At 40.0% G+C, this 25,496-nt stretch overlaps 1 protein-coding gene and 2 pseudogenes across 1 annotated transcript in view, besides 1 other annotated feature; 2 read left to right on the top strand and 1 right to left on the bottom strand.

The window, feature by feature from the left end:
- The window catches only part of OR9Q1 (olfactory receptor family 9 subfamily Q member 1), a 157,736-nt gene that overhangs the window by 89,390 nt on the left and 42,850 nt on the right, over positions 1-25,496 (bottom strand). The gene's annotated exons all lie outside the window — the stretch shown is intronic.
- On the top strand, positions 13,621-14,877 carry OR9L1P (olfactory receptor family 9 subfamily L member 1 pseudogene; annotated as a pseudogene).
- LOC100421793 (tRNA methyltransferase 11 homolog (S. cerevisiae) pseudogene) lies at positions 18,594-20,039 on the top strand (annotated as a pseudogene).
- Positions 24,663-25,162: an enhancer, noted in NCBI's record as "H3K4me1 hESC enhancer chr11:57834537-57835036 (GRCh37/hg19 assembly coordinates)". NCBI's record gives its function as "activates a minimal SCP1, AML or CMV promoter by ChIP-STARR-seq in naive H9 embryonic stem cells {active_cell/tissue: H9 hESC(naive)}" and the evidence as "EXISTENCE:reporter gene assay evidence [ECO:0000049][PMID:30033119]".

Raw genomic sequence — 25,496 nt, 5'->3', positions numbered from 1 at the left:
ACTGCATTAACTAATGTGCAAAATAACCAGCTAGCATCATGATGACAGGGTCAAATTCACACATAACAATATTAACCTTAAATGTAAATGGGCTAAATGCCCCAATTAAGAGACACAGACTGGCAAATTGGATAAAGAGGCAAGACCCATTGGCGTGCTGTATTCAGGAGATCCATCTCACATGCAAAGAAACACATAGGCTCAAAATAAAGGGATGGAGGAATATTTACCAAGCAAATGGAAAGCAAAAAAAAAAAGGCAAGGGTTGCAATCCTAGTCTCTGATAGAACAGACTTTAAACCAAGAAAGATCAAAAAAGACAAAGAAGGGTATTACATAATGGTAAAGGGATCAATGCAACAAGAAGAGCAACTATCCTAAATACATATATGCACCCAATACAGGAGTACACAGATTCATAAAACAAGTCTTAGAGACATACAAAGAGACTTAGATTCTCATACAGTAATACTGGGAAACTTTAACACCTCACTGTCAATATTAGATCAATAAGACAGAAAATTAACAAGAATACTTAGGACTTGAACTCAGCTCTGCACCAAGAGGGCCTAATAGACATCTACAGAACTCTCCACCCCAAATCAACAGAATATACATTCTTCTCAGCATCACATTGCACATATTCAAAAATTGACCACATAATTAGAAGTAAAACACTCCTCAGTAAATGCAAAAGTGCAGAAATCATAACAAACAGTCTCTCAGACCACAGTACAACCAAATTAGAACTCAGGATTAAGAAAATCACTCAAAACCACACAACTACATGGAAATTGAACAACCTGCTCCTGAATGACTACTGGGGAAATAACAAAATTAAGGCAGAAACAAATAAGTTCTTTGAGACCAGTGAGAACAAAGAGACAACATACCAGAATCTCTGGAACACAGCCAAATTAGTGTTAAGAAGCGAATTTATAGCACTAAATGCCTACAACAGAAAGCTGGAAAGATCTAAAATCAATAGCCTAACATCACGATTAAAAGAACTAGAGAAGCAAGAGCAAACACATTCGAAAGCTAGCAGAAGGCAAGAAATAACTAAGATCAGAGCAGAACTGAAGGACACAGAGAAACAAAAAACCCTTCAAAAAATCAATGAATCCTGGAGCTTGTTTTTTTTAAAAAAAATTAACAAAATAGATGGACTACTCACTAGACTAATAAAGAAGAAAAAAGAGGAATCGAATAGACACAATGTAATATGATAAAGGGGATATCACCACCGATCCCACAGAAATACAAACTACCATCAGAGAATGCTATAAATACCTCTATGCAAATAAACTAGAAAATCTAGAAGAAATGGATAAATTCCTGGACACATACACCCTCCAAAGACTAAACCAGAAAGAAGTTGAATCCCTGAATAGACCAATAACAAGTTCTGAAATTCAGGCAGTAATTAATAGCCTACCAACGAAAAAATGCCCAGGACCAGATGGATTCACAACCAAATTCTACTAGAGGTACAAAAAGGAGCTGGTACCATTCCTTCTAAAACTATTCCAAACAATAGAAAAACAGGGACTCCTCCCTAACTCATTTTATGAGGCCAACATCATCCTGATACCAAAATCTGGACACACCACAAAAAAAGAAAATTTCAGGGCAATGTACCTGGTGAATATTGATGCAAAAATCTGCAATAAAATACTGGCAAACCAAATCCAGCAGCACATCAAAAAGCTTATCCACCACGATCAAGTCGACTTCATACCTGGGATGCAAGGCTGGTTCAACATATGCAAATCAATAAATGTAATCCATCACATAAACAGAACCAATGACAAAAACCAAATGATTACCTCAATAGAAGCAGATAAGGTCTTTGATAAAATTCAACACCCTTTATGCTAAAACACTCAGTAAACTAGGTATTGATGGAACGTATCTCAAAATAATAAGAGCTATTTATGACAAAACCACAGCCAATATCATACTGAATGGGCAAAAGCCGGAAGCATTCCCTTTGAAAACCGGCACAAGACAAGGATGCCCTCTCTCACCACTCCTATTCAACATAGTATTGAAAGTTCTGACCAGCGCAATCAGACAAGAGAAAGAAATAAGGGGTATTGAAATAGGAAGAGAGGAAGTTGAATTGTCTCTGTTTGCAGATGACATGATTGTATATTTAGAAAATCCCATGATCTCAGCCCAAAATCTCCTTAAGCTGATAAGTAACTTCAGCAAAGTCTCGGGATACAAAATCAATGTGCAAAAATCACAAACAATCCTATGCACAAATAATAGACAAACAGCCAAATCATAACTGAACTCCCATTCACAATTGCAACAAAGAGAATCAAATACCTAGGAACCCAACTTACAAAGGATGTGAAGGACTTTTTCAAGAACTACAAACCACTGCTCAAGGAAATAAGAGAGGACACAAACAAATGTAAAAACATTCCATGATCATGGATAGGAAGAATCAATATCACAACAATAGTCATACTGCCCAAAGTAATTTATAGATTCAGTGCTATCCCCATCAAGCAACAGTTGACTTTCTTCACAGAATTAGAAAAAAACTACTTTAAATTTCATATGGAACCAAAAAAGAGCCCACATAGCAAAGACAATCCTAAGCAAAAAGAACAAATCTGGAGGCATCATGCTGCCTGACTTCAAACTATACTACAAGGCTACAGTAATCAAAAAGCATGGTACTGGTACCAAAACAGATATATAGACCAATGGAACAGAACAGAGACCTTAGAATTAACACCATACATACACATCTACAGCCATCTGACCTTCGACAAACCCGACAAAAATCAAGCAATGGGGAAAGGATTCCCTATGTAATAAACGGTGCTGGGAAAACTGGCTAGCCATATGCAAAAAACTGAAACTGGATCCCTTTCTTACACCTTGTACAAAAATTAACTCAAGATAGATTAAAGACTTAAATGTAAAACCCAAAACCATAAAAACCCTAGAAGAAAACCTAGGCAATATTATTGAAGACATAGGCATGGGAAAAGACTTCAACGACTAAAACACTAAATCCAATTGCAACGGCTGGGCATGGTGGCTCACGCTTGTAATCCCAACACTTTGGGAAGCCGAGGTGGGTGAATCACCTGAGGTCAGGATTTCGAGATCAGTCTGGCCAACATGATGAAACCCCATCTCTACTAAAAATAAAAAAAATTAGCTGGGCCTGGTGACGGGCACCTGTAATCCCAGCTACTCAGGAGGATGAGGCAGGAGAATCGCTTGAACCCATGAGGTGGAGGTTGCAGTGAGCCAAGATCATGACATTGCATTCCAACCTGAGCAACAAGAGCGAAACTCCGTCTCAAAAACAAAAAAAAAGAAGCAATTGCAACAAAAGCCAAAATTGACAAATTGACAAATGGGATTTAATTAAACTAAAGAGCTTCTGCACAGCAAAAGAAAATATCATCAGAGTGAACAGGCAACCTACAGAATGAGAGAAAATTTTAGCAAGCTACCCTTCTGACAAAAGTCTGATATCCAGAATCCACAAGGAACATAAACAAATTTACAAGAAAAAAAACAAACAATCCCATCAAAAAGTGGGTGAAGGATATGAACAGACACTTCTCCAAAGAAGACACTTATGCGGCCAACAAACCTATAAACAAAAGCTCATCGTCACTGGTCATTGGAGAAATGCAAATCAAAACCACAATGAGATACCATCTCATTCCAGTTAGAATGGCAATTATTAAAAAGTCAGGAAACAACAGATGCTGGTGAGGCTGTGGAGAAATAGGAATGCTTTTACACTATTGATGGGACTGTAAATTAGTTCACCTATTATGGAAGACAGTGTGGCAATTCCTCAAGGATCTAGAACCAGAAATACCATTTGACCCAGCAATCCCATTACTGGGTATATACCCAAAGGATTATAAATCATTCTACTATAAAGACACATGCACACATATGTTTATTGCAGCACTATTTACAATAGGAAAGACTTGGAGCCAACCCAAATGCTCATCAATGATAGACTGCATTAAGAAAATGTGGCACATATACCCCATGGAATACTATGCAGCCATCAAAAAGAATGAGTTCATGTCAGGCCGGGTGCGGTGGCTCATGCCTGTACTCCCAGCACTTTGGGAGGCCAAGGCAGGTGGATCATTTGAGGTCAGGAGTTCGAAACCAGCCTGGCCTCTACAGGTGTGCCCCTGTAATCCCAGATACTCGGGAGGCTGAGGCACAAGAATTGCATGAACCCAGGAGGCAGAGGTTGCAGTGAACGAGATCACACCACTACACTCCAACCTAGGTAACAGAGTGAGACTCCATCTCAAAAAATAAAGAATGACTTCATGTCCTTTGTAGGGACATGGATGAAGCTGGAAGCTATCATTCTCAGCAAACACAGGAACAGAAAACCAAACAACACGTGTTCTCACTCATAAGTGGGAGTTGAACAATGAGAACATATGGACACAGGGAGGGGAACCTCACACACCGGGGCCTGTCAGGGGGTGGGGGGCAAGGGGAGGGAGAGCATTAGGACAAATAGCTAATGCATGCTGGGCTTAAAATCTAGATGACGAGTTGATGGGTGCAGCAAACCACCATGGCACATATATACCTATGTAACAAACCTGCACGTTCTGCACATGTATCCCAGAACTTAAAGTAAGATAAAAATTAATTAAGAAGAATATCCTTCGTTTCATTTAACAAAATATACTTAGAGCTTATTAAATACCTCTATGATGAGAAAGTAGTGCTTCCATTTTAAAATATAATAGTTTACTACAATCATCTGAATGAATCTCACTAACATAACATTGAGTGAGAGGAATTAGACACAAATGACTTCATACTGTATGATTCCAGGTATATAAAGGAAAAAAAGCAAGTAAACTAATCAATGCTATTAGTATTGGGGGAATAATCAGTGGAAGGGTGCACAAGAGAGGTTTCAGAGATTGATGATGTATTGAGTCTTGATTTAGATGCATTAAATTTGTAAAAATTCATATAGATATGAATTTTTCTGAATGTTATACTTCAAAAATGACATTTTTTATTTTTCTTGTCTGATAGTCTTTATTTTCAATTGATTAACAATAATTTATATATTATATATTTCTGGAGTACAATGTGGTGTTTTGATACATGTTTATGCTGCAGAATTATTAAACCAATCTAATGAACAAATTCATTCCCTCACATATTTTTCATCTTTGTGGTGAAATTTAAAATCTATTGTTAAAGCAATTTTGAAATCTATGATGCATTATTATTCATTATAGTCACCATTCTGTGCAATAGGTCACTAAATCTTATTCCTCCTAACTGAAATTTTGTACTCTTAAATCAATATCTCCCTTTTCCCCATTTACTCCCTTCTCCCAGCCTCTGATAATCACTATTCTACTCTCTATTTCTATGAATTTTACCTTTTTAGATTCCACATACAAATGTGGTATTTTTGTTTCTGTGCCTAGCTTATTTCACTTAGCATAAACGTCCTCAAGTTTCACTCATGTCGTCACAAATTTTAAATTATTTTTCTTTTTTAGGGCTGTATAGTATTCCATTGTATATATGTACCATATTTTCTGTATCCATTTATTTGATGATGGACACTTAGGTTGTTTCCATATCTGAGCTATTGTGAAGAATGATTCAATGAACATGGGATGGTAGATTTTTTTTAAGATACTGATTTCAATTCCTTTGGTTATATATCCAGAAATGAGATTGCTGGATTACATAGTAATTCTATTTTTCATTTTCTGAGAAACTTCTGATACTGTTTTCCATAATGGCTGTATTCATTTACGTTACCACCAACAGTGCACAAGGGGTCCCTTTCTCCAAACCCTCACCAAAACTCATCTTTTATCTTTTTAATATCTTTTCTAACAGGTGCGAGGTGATATTCCATTGTGGTTTCACTTTTTATTTACCTAATGATTAGCGATGATGAATATTTTTTCACATATCTGTTGGTCATTTGTATGTCTTCTTTTGAGAAATGTATATTTCGGTCCTTTGTCCATGTTTTAATTGGGTTATTTGGTTTTTTGCTATTGAGTTGAGTTCCTTATGTTTTTGGATATTATCTAGCCCTTGATATGATGTATGATTTGCAAATATTTTCTCCCAGTCTGTGTGTTGTCTGTCTGCCAAGGCATTAGTGTGCATGATTCCTCCTGAAGCTCTTGGTAAATTGTTTCAATAGCAGGTTCAAGACCAAACAGAGCTGTAGCCAAGCAAGTCTGCAACCTGGGTGTTGGTCTCCACTCAGACCATCCTAGGATCCACCAGGGCTTTATAACCTCCTACCTAAATTCCAAGGCTCCCACAGAAACACTTTTGCCTGTGGATGGGTGCGGGGTTCTTGTTATTGTGGGGGATACATGTGTTTGACCATCCATTCTTCCATCTTACTGATGTCATCCCAATGTCAATGACATTTTTAAAAATATTATGGTCTATAGTAAAGAGCCCATTGAAGATTATTAGTTTTATATTTATCAAACATAAAATCCAAATTTGAGGGAGAGTGCACATAATTTTTTAAAAAAGAATAAAAATAATACTACTTGATTTCACTTATATAAGATATCCAAAGTAGTCAAATTTATAGAAGCATAGAATAGAGAGGTATTTGCCCAGGTTTTGGGGGAGAGGAAATAAGGAGTTTTTGCTCAACGGGCATAAAGTTTCAGAAACAAGATGAATAACTTATAGAAATCTGCTGTACAAGAGAGTGGCTACAACTTAAAATATGATATTGGATATTTAAAATTTTGTTAAAAGAGTAGATTTTATGTTAAGGATTTTTACCATCAAAAAACAAAAAACTCTCACCAAGAGACAAAAGGAACTTTTGGAGATGATTAATACATTGATTGCCTTGATTGTGGTGATGGTCTCACAGGTATGTATATGTCAAACTCATCAAATACATTAAATAGTTTTTATTGTCTATTAATTATACCTCAACAAAGCTGTTTTCAGAAATAAGGCCATATAGAAAAATGTGTTATTCTGAAAAATTCTAACACAATATTAGAAGCAGGTGACTAAGAAACTGATTAAATAATTAAATTATAATTATGCTTAATAATCAGAGAATCAATACAAGGTGATTTGCTTTAACGTACATGGACTTACATTGTTTTATTTTTGAAAATAGTTTTTAGGGTTTTCTAAGTATAGAATCATATCATCAGTGAAGAGAGATAGTTTTACTTCTTCTTTTCCTGTTTGGATGCCTTTTACCTCTTTCTCTTGCCTGATTGCTCTGGCTAGGAATTCCAGTGCTGTGTTAAATAGGAATGGTGACAGTGGGCATCCTTATCTTGTTCCAGTTCTCAAGGGGAATGGTTCCAGCTTTTTCCCATTCAGTGTGATGTTGGCTGTGGGTTTGTTAAAGATGGCTCTTATTATTTTGAGGTATGTTCCTTTGATGCCTAGTCTGTCGAGGGTTTCTAACATGAAAGGATGTTGCATTTTATAGAAAGCTTTTTCTGCATCTATTGAGATGATCATATGATTTTTGCCTTTCATTCTGTTTATGTGATGAATCACATTTATTGATTTGTGTATGTTGAACCAGCCTTGCAACCCAGGAATAAAGCCTATTTGATCATGGTGTATTAACTTTTTGATGTGCTGCTGAATTCAGTTTGCTAGTATTTGCTTGAGGATTTATGCATGCATATTCATAGGGGATATTGGCCTGAAGTTTTCTTTTTCCCTTTAGTCTCTGTCAGATTTTGATATTAGGCTGATGCCAGCTTCATATAATCAGTTATGGAGGAGTCCCTCCTCCTCAATTTTTTAGAATAGCTTCAGCAGGATTGGTACCAGTTCTTTGCACATCTAAAGATGTACAAATGCTAATAGGACTGATAAACTATTTTAATAATGTTTCAAGATACAAAATGGATATACAAAAATCAGTAGCATGTCTAATAATATCCAGGCTAGGAGTCAAATTAAGAACATAATCCCATTTATAATAACCACAAAGAAAATGAAATACCAAGGAATACCGCTAATAAAGGAGGTGAAAGAGCTCTACAAATAGAACTACAAAACACTCCTGAAAGAAATTATAGATGACACAAATAAATGGAAAAACATTCTATGCTCATTGATTGGGAGAATCGATATCATTAAAGTGGCCATACAGCCCAAAGCGATCTACAGATCCAATGCTATTCTTATCAAACTATCAACATCATTCTTCACAGAATTAGAAAAACCTATTCTAAAATTCATATGGAAGAAAAAAGAGACCAAATGGTCAAAGCAATCATATGTAAAATGAACAAAGCTGGAGACATAACACTACCCAACTTCAAACTATGCCATTAGGCTATAGTAACCAAAACAGCATGGTACTGGTACAAAACCAGACACATAGACCAGTGGAACAGAATAGTGAACCCAGAAGTAAATCCACACACCTACAACCATGTGATCTTCAACAAAGTCGACAGAAACAAGCAATGAGGAAAAGATTCCCTGTTCGATAAATGGTGCTGGGATAACTGGCTAGCCACATGCAGAAGAATGAAACTGGACCCTTACCTTTCAGCATATACAAAATTAACTCAAGATGGATTAAAGACTTAAATGTAAGACCTTAAATTTAAGAAAAAAAAATCTAGAAGAGAACCTAGGAAATACCCTCTGGCCTTGGGAAAGAATTTATGACTCAGTCCTCAAAACAACTGCAATTAAACCAAAAATTGACAAGTGGGACCTAATTAAATGAAAGAGCTTCTGCTCAGCAAAAGAAACTATCTACACAGTAAACAGAAAACCTACAGAATGGGAGAAATACTCACAAATATACATCGACAAAGGGCTAATATTTAGAATTTATAAGGAACAGAAATCAACAAGCAGAAAACAAATAACCTCATTAAAAAATGGTCAAAGGCAAAAACAAGCAATGGGGAAAGGATTCCCTATTTAATAAATGGTGCTGGGAAAACTGGCTAGCCATATGCAGAAAACTGAAACTGGATCCCTTCCTTACACCATATACAAAAATTAAAGATGGATTAAAGACTTAAATGTAAGACTTAACTCCGTAAAAACTCTAGAAGAAAACCTAGGCGATACCATTCAGGACATAGGCATGGGCAAAGACTTCATGACTAAAACACCAAAAGCAATGGCAACAAAAGCCAAAATAGACAAATGGGATCTAATTAAACTAAAGAGCTTCTGCATAGCAAAAGAAACTATCATTACACTCTGGGGACTGTTGTGGGGTGGGGGAAGGGGGGAGGGATAGCTTTAGGAGATATACCTAATGCTAAATGACGAGTTAATGGGTGCAGCACACCAGCATGGCACATGTACACATATATAACTAACCTGCACATTGTGCACATATACCCTAAAACTTAAAGTATAATAATAATAAAATTTTAAAAAAAGAAGACCTAACTTTTTATTATTATTATTATTATTATTATTATTATACTTTAAGTTTTAGGGTACATGTGCACAATGTGCAGGTTAGTTACATATGCATACATGTGCCATGCTGGTGTGCTGCACCCATTAACTCGTCATTTAGCATTAGGTATATCTCCTAAAGCTATCCCTCCCCCCTCCCCCCACCCCACAACAGGCCCCAGAGTGTGATGATCCCCTTCCTGTGTCCATGTGTTCTCATTGTTCAATTCCCATCTGTGAGTGAGAACATGTGGTATTTGGTTTTTTGTCCTTGCGATAGTTTACTGAGGATGATGATTTCCAATTTCATCCATGTCCCTACAAAGGACATGAACTCATCATTTTTTATGGCTGCATAGTATTCCATGGTGTATATGTGCCTCATTTTCTTAATCCAGTCTATCATTGTTGGACATTTGGGTTGGCTCCAAATCTTTGCTATTGTAAATAGTGCCACAATAAACATACTTGTGCATGTGTCTTATAGTCCTTTGGGTATATTCCCAGTAATGGGATGGCTGGGTCAAATGCTATTTCTAGTTCTAGATCCCTGAGGAATTGCCACACCGACTTCCACAATGGTTGAACTAGTTTACAGTCCCACCAACAGTGTAAAAATGTTCCTATTTCTCCACATCCTCTCCAGCACCTGTTGTTTCCTGACTTTTTAATGATTGTCATTCTAACTGGTGTGAGATGGTATCTCATTGTGGTTTTGATTTGCATTTCTCTGATGGCCAGTGATGATGAGCATTTTTTCATGTGTCTTTTGGCTGCATAAATGAAGAAGACCTAACTTAACAATACAAAATGTTTCTTAAAAATGCCCTGATCATTTTATCTGATAGAAAGGTCAATTTAAGTCAACACTGTAACTAATATCTTAAGAAAGCCAATGTAAATGTTGACTACATTAATAGCATATTATTTAGATCAATAAAGTCAACAAAAGTAAAAAAAAAAAAAAAAAAGAAACTATCATCAGAGTGAACAGGCAACCTACAGAATGGGAAAAAATCTTTGCAATCTACCCATCTGACAAAGGGCTAATATCCAGAATCTACAAAGAACTTAGGCAAATTTACAAGAAAAAAACAAACAACCCCATCAAAAAGTAGGCAAAGGATATGAACAGACACTGCTCAAAAGAAGACATTTATGCAGCCAACAAACATATGAAAACAAGCTCATCATCACTGGTCATTAGAGAAATGCAAATCAAAACCACAATGAGATAACATCTCACACCAGTTAGAATGGTGATCATTAAAAACTCAAGGAACAACAGATGCTGGAGAGGACATGGAGAAATAGGAACACTTTTACACTGCTGGTGGGAGTGTAAATTAGTTCAATCACTGTGGAAGACAGTGTGGCGATTCCTCAAGGATCTAGAAGTAGAAATACCATTTCACCCAGCAATCCCATTACTGAGTATATACCCAAAGGATGATAAATCATGCTACTATAAAGACACATGCACATGTATGTTAATTGCAGCACTATTCACAATAGCAAAGACTTGGAACCAACCCAAATGTCTTTCAGTGATAGACTGGATTAAGAAAATGTGGCACATATACACCATGGAATACTATGCAGCCACAAAAAAGGATGAGTTCATGTCCTTTGTAGGGACATGGATGAAGCTGGAAACCATCATTCTAAGCAAACTATCACAAGGACAGAAAACCAAACACCACATGTTCTCATTCATAGGTGGGAGATGAACAACGAGAACACATGGACACAGGACGGGGAACATCACACACTGGGTCCTGTCGGGGGGTGGGGGACAAGGGGAGGGATAGCATTAGGAGAAATACCTAATGTAAATGACAAGTTGATGGGTGCAGCAAACCAACATGGCACATGTATACCTATGTGACAAACCTGCAGGTGGTGCACGTGTAACCGAACTTAAAGTATAATTTTTAAAAAATGGTCCAAGGACATGAGCCGACATTTCTCAGATGGACACATACGAGCAGTCAACAAACGTATGGAAAAATGCTAATCATCACTAATCATCAGAGAAATGCAAATCAAAAACCTCAATGTGATACCATCACACACCAGTCAGAATAGTTATTATTAAAAAGTCAAAAAACAACAAATGCCGGTGAGGCTGTGGAAAAAGGGAATGCTTATATGCGTTGGTGGAAATGTAAATTAGTTCAGCCACAGTGGAAAGCAGTTTGGAGATTTCTTAAGGAACTAAAAATAGAACTACCATTCAAGCCAGCAATCCCACTATTAGGTATCTACCCAAAAGAATATAAATTGTCCTACCAAAAAGACACATACACTCCTAAGTTCATTACAGCACTATGCACAATACAAAGACAGGAAATCAATGTGGGTGCCCATCAACAGTGAAGTGGATTTTTTTAATGTGGTACATATGCACCATGGAATCCTATGCAGCCCTAAGAAAGAATAAAATCATGTCCCTTGCCGCAACATGGATGCAGCAGGCAGCCATGATCCTAAGCAAATTAACACAGGAACAAAAAACTGAATACCACATATTCTCATGCATAAATGGGAGCTAAACATTGAGCACACATGGACATAAACAATGGAACAATAGACACTGCAGACTACTAGTGGGGGAAGGGAGGAGAGGGTGTGGGTTGAAAAACTACCTATTGGGTGCTATGCTCACTACCTGGGTGCAATATACCCATGTAACAAGCCTGCACATGTACCCCCGTATCTAAAATAAAAGTTGACATTTTAGAAAAAGAAAATCGTTTTTGTAGAACTAGGTATTTATTACTCTTTGCTGCGTAACTTAAAACTTAAAAAACAGTGGGTTTAACCAACAACCATTCACTTAACTCACTATTCTACAAGTCAGCAGTTTGTGTTGGCTCAGCTGGGCAGTTCTGGTCTGAGTGGGACTTGGCTGATATTGGTTGGATATGCTCATTTGCCTGTAGTTCTCTGCCAGGTATGAGCCTGAATTGTCAATATGTATGAGCCTGAATGGTCAATAATGACTTCATCTGGTACAACTGAGGCAACTGGGGCGCCTTTTCTCATGGTTTCCTGTTCTCCAGTAAGCTATCCAGGCTCATTCACATGGCATTCTCATGATTCCAAAAATGCAAAAACAGCAGGCTCAAAGCCTTTTGAGGCCTAGAGCTACAACTGGCATGACATCACTTCCACCACACTCTATCAAAGTAAGTCATGAGACCATACAGTTTCAAGAAATGGAGAGATAAATTCAGTCTTTCGATGAGAGTTGCTTCGAGGTATTGTGGCCACTTTTGCAATCTCCTACAAACTATTTTAGAGCTCTACCAATATAAAAATTCAATTTACTGATTAATGAATACTCTAAAAAGTATATAATTTTAATTTATTTTAGAATGCTTTTCATTCACTCACTACTTGGATAATAATGGATCTCCTCAAGCCATTCCATAACTCCTTCAGGAGCCCAAGGAATCTTTTTGCAAAGCCCTAAAATTGAGAGAAATGACACCAGCAAGATAAAAAAAAAAAAAGACTCAGAACTCAGAGTACAACTGAGTGATGGTTGCGGTGGTACACCAAAGCAAAGATCCTTGACTTCCTTCTGCTGTAGTCTCTAGGGCCTTCCTGATGTAGGACCTACCCTGCATCTTCAACCTCTGTGAAGCTGAAGTTTTCACATGCATTGACGTAGAATAAACACCCTTTACTTGAGTTCCTTGGGAAGTCTTTCCTCGAGTTCTCTATCACAAAACAGTCAAATGGTCTACAAGGATCAGTGCTGTCTCCTGGAAAAAGAAATGAGATTGAGTTAAAAGAATTCTGTTTCTGTCCTTGCTTCATCACTTGTAAGGTGAATGTCTTTGCCAAGTCTTTTCCAATTCTGAGATTCTCAGAGCCTGTCATCTTTGTGGAAGACTCCAGTTATGAGCCAACAGGTGGATTTTAACCAGGAACAATGCTCCATATCAGCTCCATTCGATGTTTTCAAAGAGAGGAGATGCTCAAGAGAAAATACCAATGATGGGTCTTCTAGAGGGCAACCATTTACTTTCTCGTTGAGATATGCCTAGGACATCCTCACAATAACTACTGTAGAAGAATAATACCTTGTCCACAGTTCTAGAGGTAATATTCTATTTCCAATCTCAGAGAGCAAGCAATAGTGAACCTACAACTGAAAAGAATCTCATCTCTATGAATGGGTTTATGAACTTCACTGATTACCCAGAGTTGGAAATGCCCTTGTTCTTAGTGTTTCTCAGTTGCTTCCTGGCCATTATTTTGAGAAATATGGAATGGGTCATTCTGACCCAAGTGAATGTGCATCTCTTCACCCTATATACTTCTTCCTAACAAATGTCACCCTTTGGGATACCTCAGTCATCATGCCTCAGATCCTGGCCATTCTGGCCACAGGCAAGACAACCATTTCCTATGGCCGCTAATAAAAGCAATGAGGTCCTTTTTCTTCATTTGTGTAGGAACTTAGTGTTTCCTGCCAACAGCAATGACCATAAGCAGCCCACTGCCCCACACTACAAGCCATGAACTTCAAGACATGTTGGGGTTTTTTTTTGGTGGGGATTTGTTGTTGTCGTCGTTGTTGTTTTTCTTTTTCAGAGTCTCATTCCATCACCCAGGCTGGAGTGCAGTGGCACGATCTCAGCTCACGGCAACCTCCACCTCCTGGGTTCAAGCGATTCTCGTTTCTCATGCCTCAGCCACCCAGGTAGCTGGAATTACAGGCATGCACCACCATGCCTGGCTAATTTTTGTATTTTCAGTAAAGATGAGGTTTTGCCATGTTGACCAGGCTGATCTCAAACTCCTGGCCTCAAATGATCTGCCCACCTCAGCCTCCTAAAGTCCTGGGATTACAGGCATGAGCCACCATGCCTGGCTGACATGCTGGGTTTTGATGGTGAACGTGGTGAATGCCTACACCTGAGGACTATCAGGAGCCACTTTCAACACCATCTGCACATTTGCCCGCTTCTTCTGTGATGACAATTAGATCAAATTCTGTCACATCCTGCCCCTGCTGAAGCTCATTTGAAATACTTCAGGAAACAGCAAGATAATTATTGTGATCTTTGACAGCTTTTATGATTATAGCTGGCACTAGGGTCATCCTGATCTCTTACCTGCTAATCATCAGGGCTTTGAGGATGAAATCATCGAGTGGCAAAGCCAATAATTTTATCCATCCACTTGTGCCTCCCACCTAACTGCTATGACCTTCCTTTGGGATCCCCATCTTCAGACATGTGAAGTACCTCAGATAAATCACTGACAGAAGACAAGTTGGCATCATGACTTGCACCATCTTTATTCCTATGCTAGAACTTTTGATCCAAAGTCTAAAGAAGGATATACAAGTTGCCTTCAAAAAGGCCATAGGTAACTTCTGGGTTTTTGAGAGGCTGTAACTCTAGCTGAAACTTCTTGACCAGTCTCCTCTTAAAGTCCTTAAGCTATTGAAGGAGGAGCAGGATGTGACTTCCCCAGTAGCTCCTTGACAAACTTGCAAGATCAGTTGTTTCCCATTTGTGAACATCCTGCTCCTCCACCTGATTCATGTCTGCCTTTTTTAATCTATTCTCTATCCCAAGCCTCTCAGAACCTTCCTGGAACCTGTTTTCCAAGAGTTATAGAAATCTCAACATTGGAAGTGACTTTTAAAGTCATCTTGTCCACCCTACTCCACTACTCCTCTCCAAGTCCAAACATCCTTACCTAATGTTTCCAGAACTACTGTTTTTCCCTTCCCATCTCTTCTCTTGTCAGAACTGTCATTCTCTTTATCCTGAAAATTTTCACTAAGTGTTAAAAGGGGAAGATTTCAATTATTTTATTTGCATAACTCAAGATTTGGGATCTGTAGGGATTCACATATATTCATTTATTCTATAGTGAAAAAGTCAGTTTAGTAAGCTAAAATTATAACATTTCCTAAAATTATTGTTTCATTGATTTTAAAACTGTTCTTAGGCTAGGCATGGTGTCTCATGCCTGTAATCCCAGCACTTTGGGAGGCCAAGGGAGGAGAATCACTTGAGCCCAAGAGTTCAAGACCAGCCTTGGCAATAAAGTGAGACCTCGTCTCTATAAAAAAGAAATAATAATAATTAAAAACTATTCTAAAGTTATATATTGGGTGGGTATCTCAAAGTTCTGTCATTATCTCACCTTTAGAATATAAGCCAAAAGTCAGTGAGCCCATAAAAGAGATTTGAAGCAGAAGACACATTCTCCTGCTTGTCTTGAAGGAGTAAGCTGCCTTGTTGTGAGAGATGTGGCCACATGGCAAGGACCTAATGGTGGCTTCTAAGTCAGTCCCTGGCTGACAGCTAGCCAGGAAATGGGCACCACAGCTATGCAAACAGCAGGCAAATGAATTCAACCAACAACCTGAAAGAGTTTGGAGGAGGACCTTGAGCCTCAGATGAGATTGAAGCCCCACACAACAACCTGATTTCAGTCATGAAAGACCATGAGCAGATAACCTCTATGCTGACTCTTGACTCATGGAAATTATAAGATTTGTGTTGCTTTGAGCTGCTAAATGTAGTAATTTGTTATTCAGCAACAAAAAATTACTTGTAAACTAAAAGTTAGGTTTAAAGCAGAGGCCAAAAAGTTTTCTCCATAAAGGGCCAGAGAGTAAACATTTTAGGCTTTTCAGGCCAAATGATCTTTCTCACAGGTACTCATGTCTGCCATTCTAGTGAGAAAGCAGCCACGGGGCAACACATAAACAAACGAGTGTGACTGTATTGCAATAGACTTATAACAGGCAGCAGGCTAGATTTGTACTATGAGTCATAGATTGTTGATCCCTGAGTTAATGCATATCCAGTACTTGGTACAGAGGTTGGCACATAGTAAGTGATGATTCCTTTAGTAATCATAATTATTAAAAGAAGAGACTGGATCACACTGATTCTGGCCCATGATCATTGGATGCAATTACCTGCATCCCATGCCATCACTTGTCTTAGCCTCTTTAGGCTGCTGTAACAAAATGCCATAAACTGGGTGGCTTTTAAACAACAGAAGTTTACTTCTAATAGTTCTGAAGTCTAGGAAGTCAAAGATCAAGGTGCTAGCAGATTCCATGTCTGGTGAAGGCCCACTTTCTTGTTCATAGGTGGCACCTTCTCGCTGTGCCTTCAAGTCAAAGAAAGAGACCAGCAGCTCCCTGAAGCCTCTTTCAGAAAGGAACTAATTCCATTCATCAAGGTTCTGCTATCATGACCTAAGCACCTCCCAAAATTTCCACCTCCTAACACCATCACGTTGGTGATCAGGTTTCAATGTATGGATTTGGGGGGCACAGCTGCCGTGCACCCTAAACAGGTGTCTGCTGCTCATGGCAGCTCCTGAAGTTCTGTCTGCTTTAATAAAGTCTTCGCTAGAGAATAAAATCCCTAGGAATACAACTTACAAGGGACATGAAGGACCTCTTCAAGGAGAACTAAAAACCACTGCTCAAGGAAATGACAGAGGACACAAACAAATGGAAAAACATTCTATGCTCCTGGATAGGAAGAATCAATATCATGAAAATGGCCATACTGCCCAAGGTAATTTATAGAATCATTGCTACTCCCATCAAGCTACCATTGACTTTCTTCACAGAATTAGAAAAAAACTACTTTAAATTTCATATGGAAGCAAAAAATATCCCGTAGAGCCAAGACAATCTTAAGCAAAAAGAACAAAGCCAGAGGCATCATGCTACCTGACTTCAAACTATACTACAAGGCTACAGTAACCAAAACAGCATGGTACTGGTACCAAAACAGATATACAGACCAAAGGAACAGAACAGAGGCCTCAGAAATAACACCACACATCTAAAACCATCTGATCTTTGACAAACCTGACAAAAACAAGAAATGGAGAAAGGATTCCCCATTAAATAAATAGTGTTGGGAAAACTGGTTAACCATATGCAGAAAACTGAAACTGGACCCCTTCCTTACACCTTATACAAAAATTAACTAAGATGGATTAAAGACTTCAATGCAAAACCTAAAACCATAAAAAATCCTAGAAGAAAACCTAGGCAATACCACTCAGGACATAGGCATGGGCAAAGACTTCATAACTAAAACACCGAAAGCAATTGTAACAAAAGCCAAAATTGATAAATGGGACCTAATTAAACTAAAGAACTTCTGCACAGCAAAGGAAAATATCATCAGAGTGAAAAGGCAAACTACAGAATGGGAGAAAATTGTTGCAATCTATCCATCCGACAAAAGTCTAATATCCAGAATCTACAAGGAACTTAAACAAATTTACAAGAAAAAAAAACAACTCCATCAAAAAGTGGGCAAAGGATATGAACACACTTCTCAAAAGAAGATATTTATGTGGCCAACAAACATATGAAAACAAGCTCATCATCACTGGTCATTAGAGAAATGCAAATCAAAACCACAATGAGATACCATCTCATACCAATTAGAATGGTAATCATTAAAAAGTCAGGAAACAACAGATACTGGAGAGGAAGTGGAGAGTGTGGTGATTCCTCAAGGATCTAGAACTAGAAATACCATTTGACTCAACAATCCCATTACTGTGTATATACCCAAAGGATGATAAATCATTCTACTTTAAAGACACATGCACACATATGTTTATTGCAGCACTATTTATAATAGCAAAGACTATTGCAACACAATTTACAATAGCAAACCCAAATGCCCATCAATGATAGACTAGATAAAGAAAATGTGGCACATATACACCATGGACTACTATGCAGCCATAAAAAAGAATGAGTTCATGTCCTTTGCGAGGACATGGATGAAGCTGGAAGACATCATTCTCAGCAAACTAACACAGGAATAGAAAACCAAACACTGCATGTTCTCACTCATAAGTAGGTGTTGAACAATGAGAACACATGGACACAGGGAGGGAAACATCACACACCAGGGCCTGTAAGGGCATGGGGGGCAAGGGGAGGGATAGCATTAGGAGAAATACCTAATATATGAGGGGCTTAAAATCTAGATGACAGGTTGGTGGGTGCAGCAAACCACCATGGCACATGTACACCTATGTAACAAACCTGCATGTTCTGCACATGTATCCCAGAACTTAAAGTATAATAAAAAATAAAATAAAAACAAAGTCTTCGCTATCATTTTTTGGAGGTCAGTTCACCTGCAGACAGGAAACTTACAGAAAGTCGCCATTTTGGATTCTTAGCATTCTTTCTGAAGGTATTGCAAGAAATGTAACGAAACGTACAGTGTGTGCTAAGTTCTATTTGTATATTCATACTCTGTGTATAAAATAAAGATTCACACATGTAATAAAACATTGACATAAGAAGAAAAAGTCAAATGAATAAAGCAGTTGGATTTCTGCCATTTAAATTCTGTAAATTTAAAGATGCCACAACATATATTCTATATTTTGGAGAATTATGGTTTGGACCCAAACTGCATCCCTAAGAATTCGCATAATATTTATTTTAGTAGATAGATCACAGATGGACAGAGAGAGCTTATTGAGTCATACACTGTCAAAATGAGACACTTTATTGGAAATACAAGCATGGATGCCGGTTTGTCATTCATTGTGACTAATTATGGAAAAGAGAAAATGATACTGATTTTGATCCATTTGCTGGAACAGGAGGCCTCCTGATAGCATCTGCTCATTTCGATGCATATGTATATGAGACAGGCATCAACTACAACACAGTTTATGGCTCAGGAAAGGCAGGTAAGAAAAACCAGAAATGGAGAGGACCAGATGAAAACATTAGGGCAAATCTTTGTCAGTATGGTTTAGAGAAGGTAATACTTTCTCTAATACATTTTGACAAATATGATTGACCATATTAAATGTCCTGGTTTCAGATACATCTAAACTTTCCTGGAGAATGGCACATATTTTAATGCAGTAATCACTGATCCTCCATATGGTATTAAAGCATCTGCAAGAAGAATAGGTTCACAGAAGGAAATATCAAAGGGGATAGAAAAATGTCCAGGAAGCCACATTCCTGTTTCCTTGAGTTATCATCCGAGTAATATGCTTTTTGACCTGCTAAACTTTGCAGCTGAGACTCTCATGTTATTTGGAAGACTAATCTATTGGTTACCAGTATATACAGCAGAATACACTGAAGAGATGACAACCCCACACCCGTCTGAAGCTCATTAGCAACTGTAAGCAGAAGCTTTTCAGCCACACATCAAGGTGCTTGATTACAACAGAAAATGTGAAGAAATGTGAAAACCAGGACCAGCATTCACATCTGCTAAGTGATCATTTTCTGACATACTAAGGTCATAATTTCTTCCATGAGAAATATAGTAAAGGGGTAACAAAAAGTATTGCTAAAGAAGAAAAATCCAGCCAGAAATGAAAATTAAGATTTGACACTGAAGAAAGAATAATGATTTAATAGAATAGACATCTAGATGTGAATTTCATGTATCCAAAAATACATGGATACAAATACTATTTTAAAATGTGTTACATGAAAAAAATAAACACTACGAAGTAAATTGAGCAATTCTTTTAAAGTTGTCTTTGTTTTATAGATGTTTTTGTTGTATGTATTATAAGTCTTTTGAACCTCATTTAATAAATATTTGTACTTTAAGTATTAATGGAGATTGACTCAAAACTGTTATATTTTTACAATTAACCTACAAGAAAAGTAATTTTTTTAACTTTTATTTTAAGTGCAATTGTACATGTGAAGTTTTGTTACATAGGTAAACTCATGTCGTAAGGGTCTGTTGTACTGATTATTTCATCACCCAGGAATTAGACCCAGTACCCAATAGTTATCTTTTCTGCTTCTCTCCCTCCTCCTACCCTCCACCCTCAAAAAATTAATATTGTTGACATTTTAAACATCTCTGCCAGATATGTTATAAGCAAGTAGTAATGGTTATGAATTTATTTATTAGATAGATTTGTCTAATTTTGTTTTGGATTGTAGTTTATTTACATTGCCACTAGTGAATCTTACTAAAAATCTCTAAATAAATAAGTAAATAAATTTGGGTGGCATGCAAACATTCAGACCATAACACCACTCATATCTGGAGAAGTTTGTTCTCGTAGTATGTTGTTGTGAGGCTCATCCACAGCCCTTGGTCATTTCCCTCTTCTTATCCCAGTCCTTTTACGCCATTGGCCCTTTGCAGGGTAGATTTAATCAAAGGAATGCAAACTCTACTTCGCTAGGCTCTTTCCCCTAGGAGAAACACAAGTCTGGCTGGCTTCTTTATTTTTATTTTATTTTTTTTTTAATGCTCTGTCTTCTTCCAGGCTGGAGTGCAGTGGCGTCATCTCTGCTCACTGCAACCTCTGCCTCCCAGATTCAAGCAATTCTCCTGCCTCAGCCTCTGAAGTAGCAGGGACTACAGGCATGCACCACCACGCCTGGCTAATTTTTGTATTTTTAGTAGAGATGGGGTTTTACCATGTTGGCAAGGCTGGTCTCAAACTCCTGGCCTCAAGTGATCTGCCTGCCTTGGCCTCCAAAAGTGCTGGGATTACAGGCGTGAGCCAACAGGCCCAGCCCCTGTCTGGCTTCTTGAAAAATTAAGTGTCTTAGGAAATACATATGCAGCCCATTTGGGAACAAGGCAAGGGCAGACCTTAGAGAGAGAAGAGTTTCTCTTCTCCCAATTGCTGCTGGATATAAAGCATCTTAGGCCCCTGGAAATAAAAGAAGTTCACTTCTCCTTGTTTGGATCAGAAAGTCTGTGGAGCTGAACTGAGGAAACCCTGTGATCCCTGCCTGACAAGATCAACCCATGACTTCTAGGCCAGCGTCAGCCATGAGACTAGGGACATCTGTGGGTAGCAGAAGGGAATGGGCTGGACTGGTTCTTTGACACAGAGGGAACTGGTTAGCATTCTTCTCTCAAGAGGCCCAGAGGACAAACAAAGTAACCTACTGTCCACCCAGATGGAATGTGAGGCAGGCACATCCTGTCTCTTAGCCCCTCAACTAACCCAGTGCCCAATCATCTATGGCTAGAGCTTGATAGTGAAGACACTGTGGCCATGGCTCAGTGCCTGTACAGGGCAAGAGATGACTCATGTGCTCTACTATCTGTGTTGAGTGGTTCAAGGGCCACCATGTCCACAGAATTTATGCCATTGAAGTCTGAAGTTCCAATGTTAGTGCTGCCTTTCTTTGTTAAATAGTAGGGTGGTCCTGGAGGAGCCTGCGGGAAACCAACCACATGAGACCAGTGAGTTCCAATTTGCATAAATTGATGTGCATGAGCATTGGGACCTCAAGGTAGGATGGGGGAGATTTTTGCTCAGACACCTAGGAGTGTGTGGGGTGGTGGGTGACACGGTGTACACGCCAGGACTACTTTTAAGCTTCTATTAGAGGGGGGAAAAGTATAATGTACATCTGAAGTGATTGTTTTCAAGAGTTTTAAGAGTGATACTGGAGCCAGACATGGTGGTTCACACCTGTAATCCCAGCACTTTGGGAGGCCAAGGCGAGCAGATCACTTGAGGTCAGGAGTTCAAGACCAGCCTGGCCAACATGGTGAAACCCCCACCCATCACCACTAAAAAAAAAAAAAATACAAAAATTATGCAGGCATGGTGGCGTACACCTGTAGTCCCAGCTACTCGGGAGGCTGAGGCAGGAGAATAGTTTGAACCTGGGAGGTGGAGGTTGCAGTGAGCCGAGATGGCACCACTGCACTCCAGCCTGGGTGACAGAGCAAGATGCCATCTCAAATCAAAATAAAAATAATAATTAAAAAAAGAGTGATGCTGGGACACACAGCTCTGCTGCAAGGCCCAGCTAATAAAACAAGACCCAGAGTTTGGAGAGAGAGGTGTTTTGTTTTGTTTTGGTTTGGTTTGGTTTGGTTTTTTGTTGTTTGAGATAGGGTCTCACTCTGTCACACAGGCTGGAATGCAGTGGAGCCATCTTGACTCACTGCAGCCTCAACCTCCTGGGCTCAAGCGATCTCCCACCTCAGCTTCCCCCGTAGCTAGGACTACAGGCATGTACCACTGCACCCTAATTTTTTAGTTTTTCACAGAGACAAGATCTCACCATGTTGCCAAGGCTGGTCTCAAACTCCTGGGCTCAAGCAATTCTCGTGCTTCAGCCTCCCAGAGTGCTGGGATTATAAGCATGAGCCATGGCGCCCAGCCTGAGGAGAAAGTTTGTATAGCCCTTTCTTCAGGGGACATAGCAGAGCCCAAATGCAGTGAGGACTGAAACTAAGAAAAGATCCTTCTCACATCTTGCAGATTTAGGTAGCCTTGTACTCAGGGCAAGGAACCAGTACTCAGGGCAAGAGAGCCACAATCCAAGCAGAACCAGCCTCCTCAGGTGTAGCTGAGAAAGAGAATATGCCTCCTTCCAGAGGTTTGCACACTGCAGGTGTCACAGGCAGAGAGGAAGGGGACAGTGAACTCATTCCATCCACATATGAAACACCCACTGGGGCCTCCCAGACAGTTTAGAGGCTACGAGACTGGCCCTCAAGTCTGCTATGAAGCTGGCAAGGACAATAGGGCCACAAATCCAGGGTGTTAACTCCAGGTGAGGCATGGAGTCTCCCATGTGTGAGGCATGGAGTCTCCCATGTGTGAGGCATGGACTCACTTGAGTAACAGTCACAAAGCAAATCCCTGTGAGTGGACACCCCCAGGTAACCTTCAAGCAGCCATTAGAGGCACTGGACTGTCACTCACAGGCGGAGACAGTCCCCACATGGCTGAACTAACAAGCAGAATTTCCCCTGGGCCATTTGCTCTCCCTTTCTGAGGTTCCTGAACATGTTCTCGGGGCTGGCATGGGCAGAATAATGTGTTGGACAATTTATATTCATGGATGCGAATCTCCAGCGCTGCACTTTTCCCGCTCCCTGGTGCTCCCTTCAGGCCAACCAGTGTATAGTCCCTGCCCATAATCTCCCCACTTGCCCCCCACCAAACTGCTCTCTGGAGTGCCCCTGAGAGCCGCTATTCACACCACTATGCTGTTGTTACTGAATTACCAATCCTGGAATAACCACCTCTTATTATTCACAGCACTTGAAAATTGGAAAAGCTCTTTTGATGACCTAAATGATCACACTGAAGCTTCTCAACAGCCAAGTGGGCAGGGAAGGCAATCACTCCCATTTTATGTGAGATAAAGGTGAGACCCACAGATGTTAAATATCTGGCCCTGGGTCAGGATTTGAATCCTGGGGACTATTTTTGGTGTAACTTGGGAAGTGTCTGAGGGTTCATGCTAAGACGATCTTCCTACATGGCATGGGCTCATTCCCGTGGGCTGTTGGAGGGTTGCTGTGTAACAGAGGAATTTCAGGCTTCAGCCACCAACCTGGCATGGAAACCATGGCATTGGGTTTCCCGGGCCTTTTTTTTCTTTTTTTTTTTTCTTTTTGAGACAGAGTCTCACTCTGTCACCCAGACTGGAGTGCAATGACAACCTCAGCTCACTACAGCCTCCACCTCCCAGGTTCAAGTGATTCTCCTGCCTCAGTCTCCTGAGTAGCTGGATTTACAGGCACCTACCATCATGTCCAGCTAATTTTTTTTTTTTTTTTGTATTTTTGTAGAGACAGGGTTTAACATGTTGATCAGGCTGGTCTTGAACTCCTGAACTCAGGTAATCCACCCACCTCGGCCTCCCAAAGTCCTGGGATTACAGGCGTGAGCCACCATGCCCGGCTGGGTGTCCTGGGCTTTATTGGAGCTCATGGCAGGTTGTCTCTCTTGCTCTGTGAGGCAGCGTGGGTGAGAAAGGACATGGTGCATGGTCCTCCTACCCTCCCCCATAGGGAAATACTTCAAAACACTCAGCAGCCCAGCTGCATCAATGCCTCATCCAGCAAGTTGGCAGGTGGCCCTTGCAGAGCATGCCCTTCCCCGTTTCTGCAGGGCCACCTTATAAGTCAGTGCAGGTCTGGGGCAGGATCCAGGAGACTCGAGTCCTTTTTACTGCCTGTGTGACCTGGAGCAAATCACCCCACCTCTCCACACTTCCATTTCCCACTTGTAAAATGAGAAAGAGCATTCCTGCTGTATGTGGACTATCATGAGGACCAAATAGGAAAGTAGGTTGGAGGAGGCTTTGTACACTGTACCACTGTTACAATCCCAATACTGGCCTTCTGAGGCCCTGGCACCAGCCCTCCTCTTACTGCCCTCAGGTGCTCAACTGGACCTTTCTGGAACCTTGACTGTGTTTGTCTCAGAGTCCATTATTTCAATCCACACTGTACAGTATGTTATGAAAGGGTTTTGCCATTGAAATAGAGTTTGCAAACAGTTGAATCCAATATTTTCCCATCACAGAGAGGGAAACTGAGGCCCAAAAAGAGAAGGTGATTTGCCCAAGATCACTCCGAGAATTCGCAGCAGATTTGGGAATAGAATTCAAGCCAAAAACAGGACCGGGCTTGGTGGCGCATGCCTATAATCCCAACACTTTGGGAGGCCGAGGTGGGCGGATCATGGGGTCAGGAGATGGAGACCACCCGGGCTAACACGGTGAAACCCTGTCTCTACTAAAAACACACACAAAAAAATTAGCCAGGCATGGTGGCAGGCGCCTGTAGTCCCAGCTACTCGGGAGGCTGAGGCAGGAGAATGGCGTGAACCCGGGAGATGGAACTTGCAGTGAGCTTGGATCACGCCACTGCACTCCAGCCTGGGCGACAGAACGAGACTCTGTCTCAAAAAAAAAAAAAAGAATTCAAGCCAAAAACAAATTACAGCTGAACCCTGCAGCCAGCCCTCCCTTAGCCTGTGCCCCACTGTGGACACGATGGACAGCACACACTCCCCAGTGCCGGTGAGACTGAGAGGGGGCCTTCAGCCACAGACTCGGGAAACCTGCTTTGCTGGCTTGTTTTACAGCCTCTCCCTGGAGACCCCCGGCCTCTCCTGTGCATCACCGGATTATTTCTGACTTTGAAGATGATGGGGTGTGGGCCCAGGAGGCCCAGGGACAGGAAGTCTGACTTCTTCATAAACACAGACCCTGGTGCAGGGTC

This window comes from Homo sapiens, chromosome 11 (assembly GCF_000001405.40).
Source record: "Homo sapiens chromosome 11, GRCh38.p14 Primary Assembly".
Taxonomy (NCBI): domain Eukaryota; kingdom Metazoa; phylum Chordata; class Mammalia; order Primates; family Hominidae; genus Homo; species Homo sapiens.
This window is presented reverse-complemented; position numbering and strand designations above follow the sequence as displayed.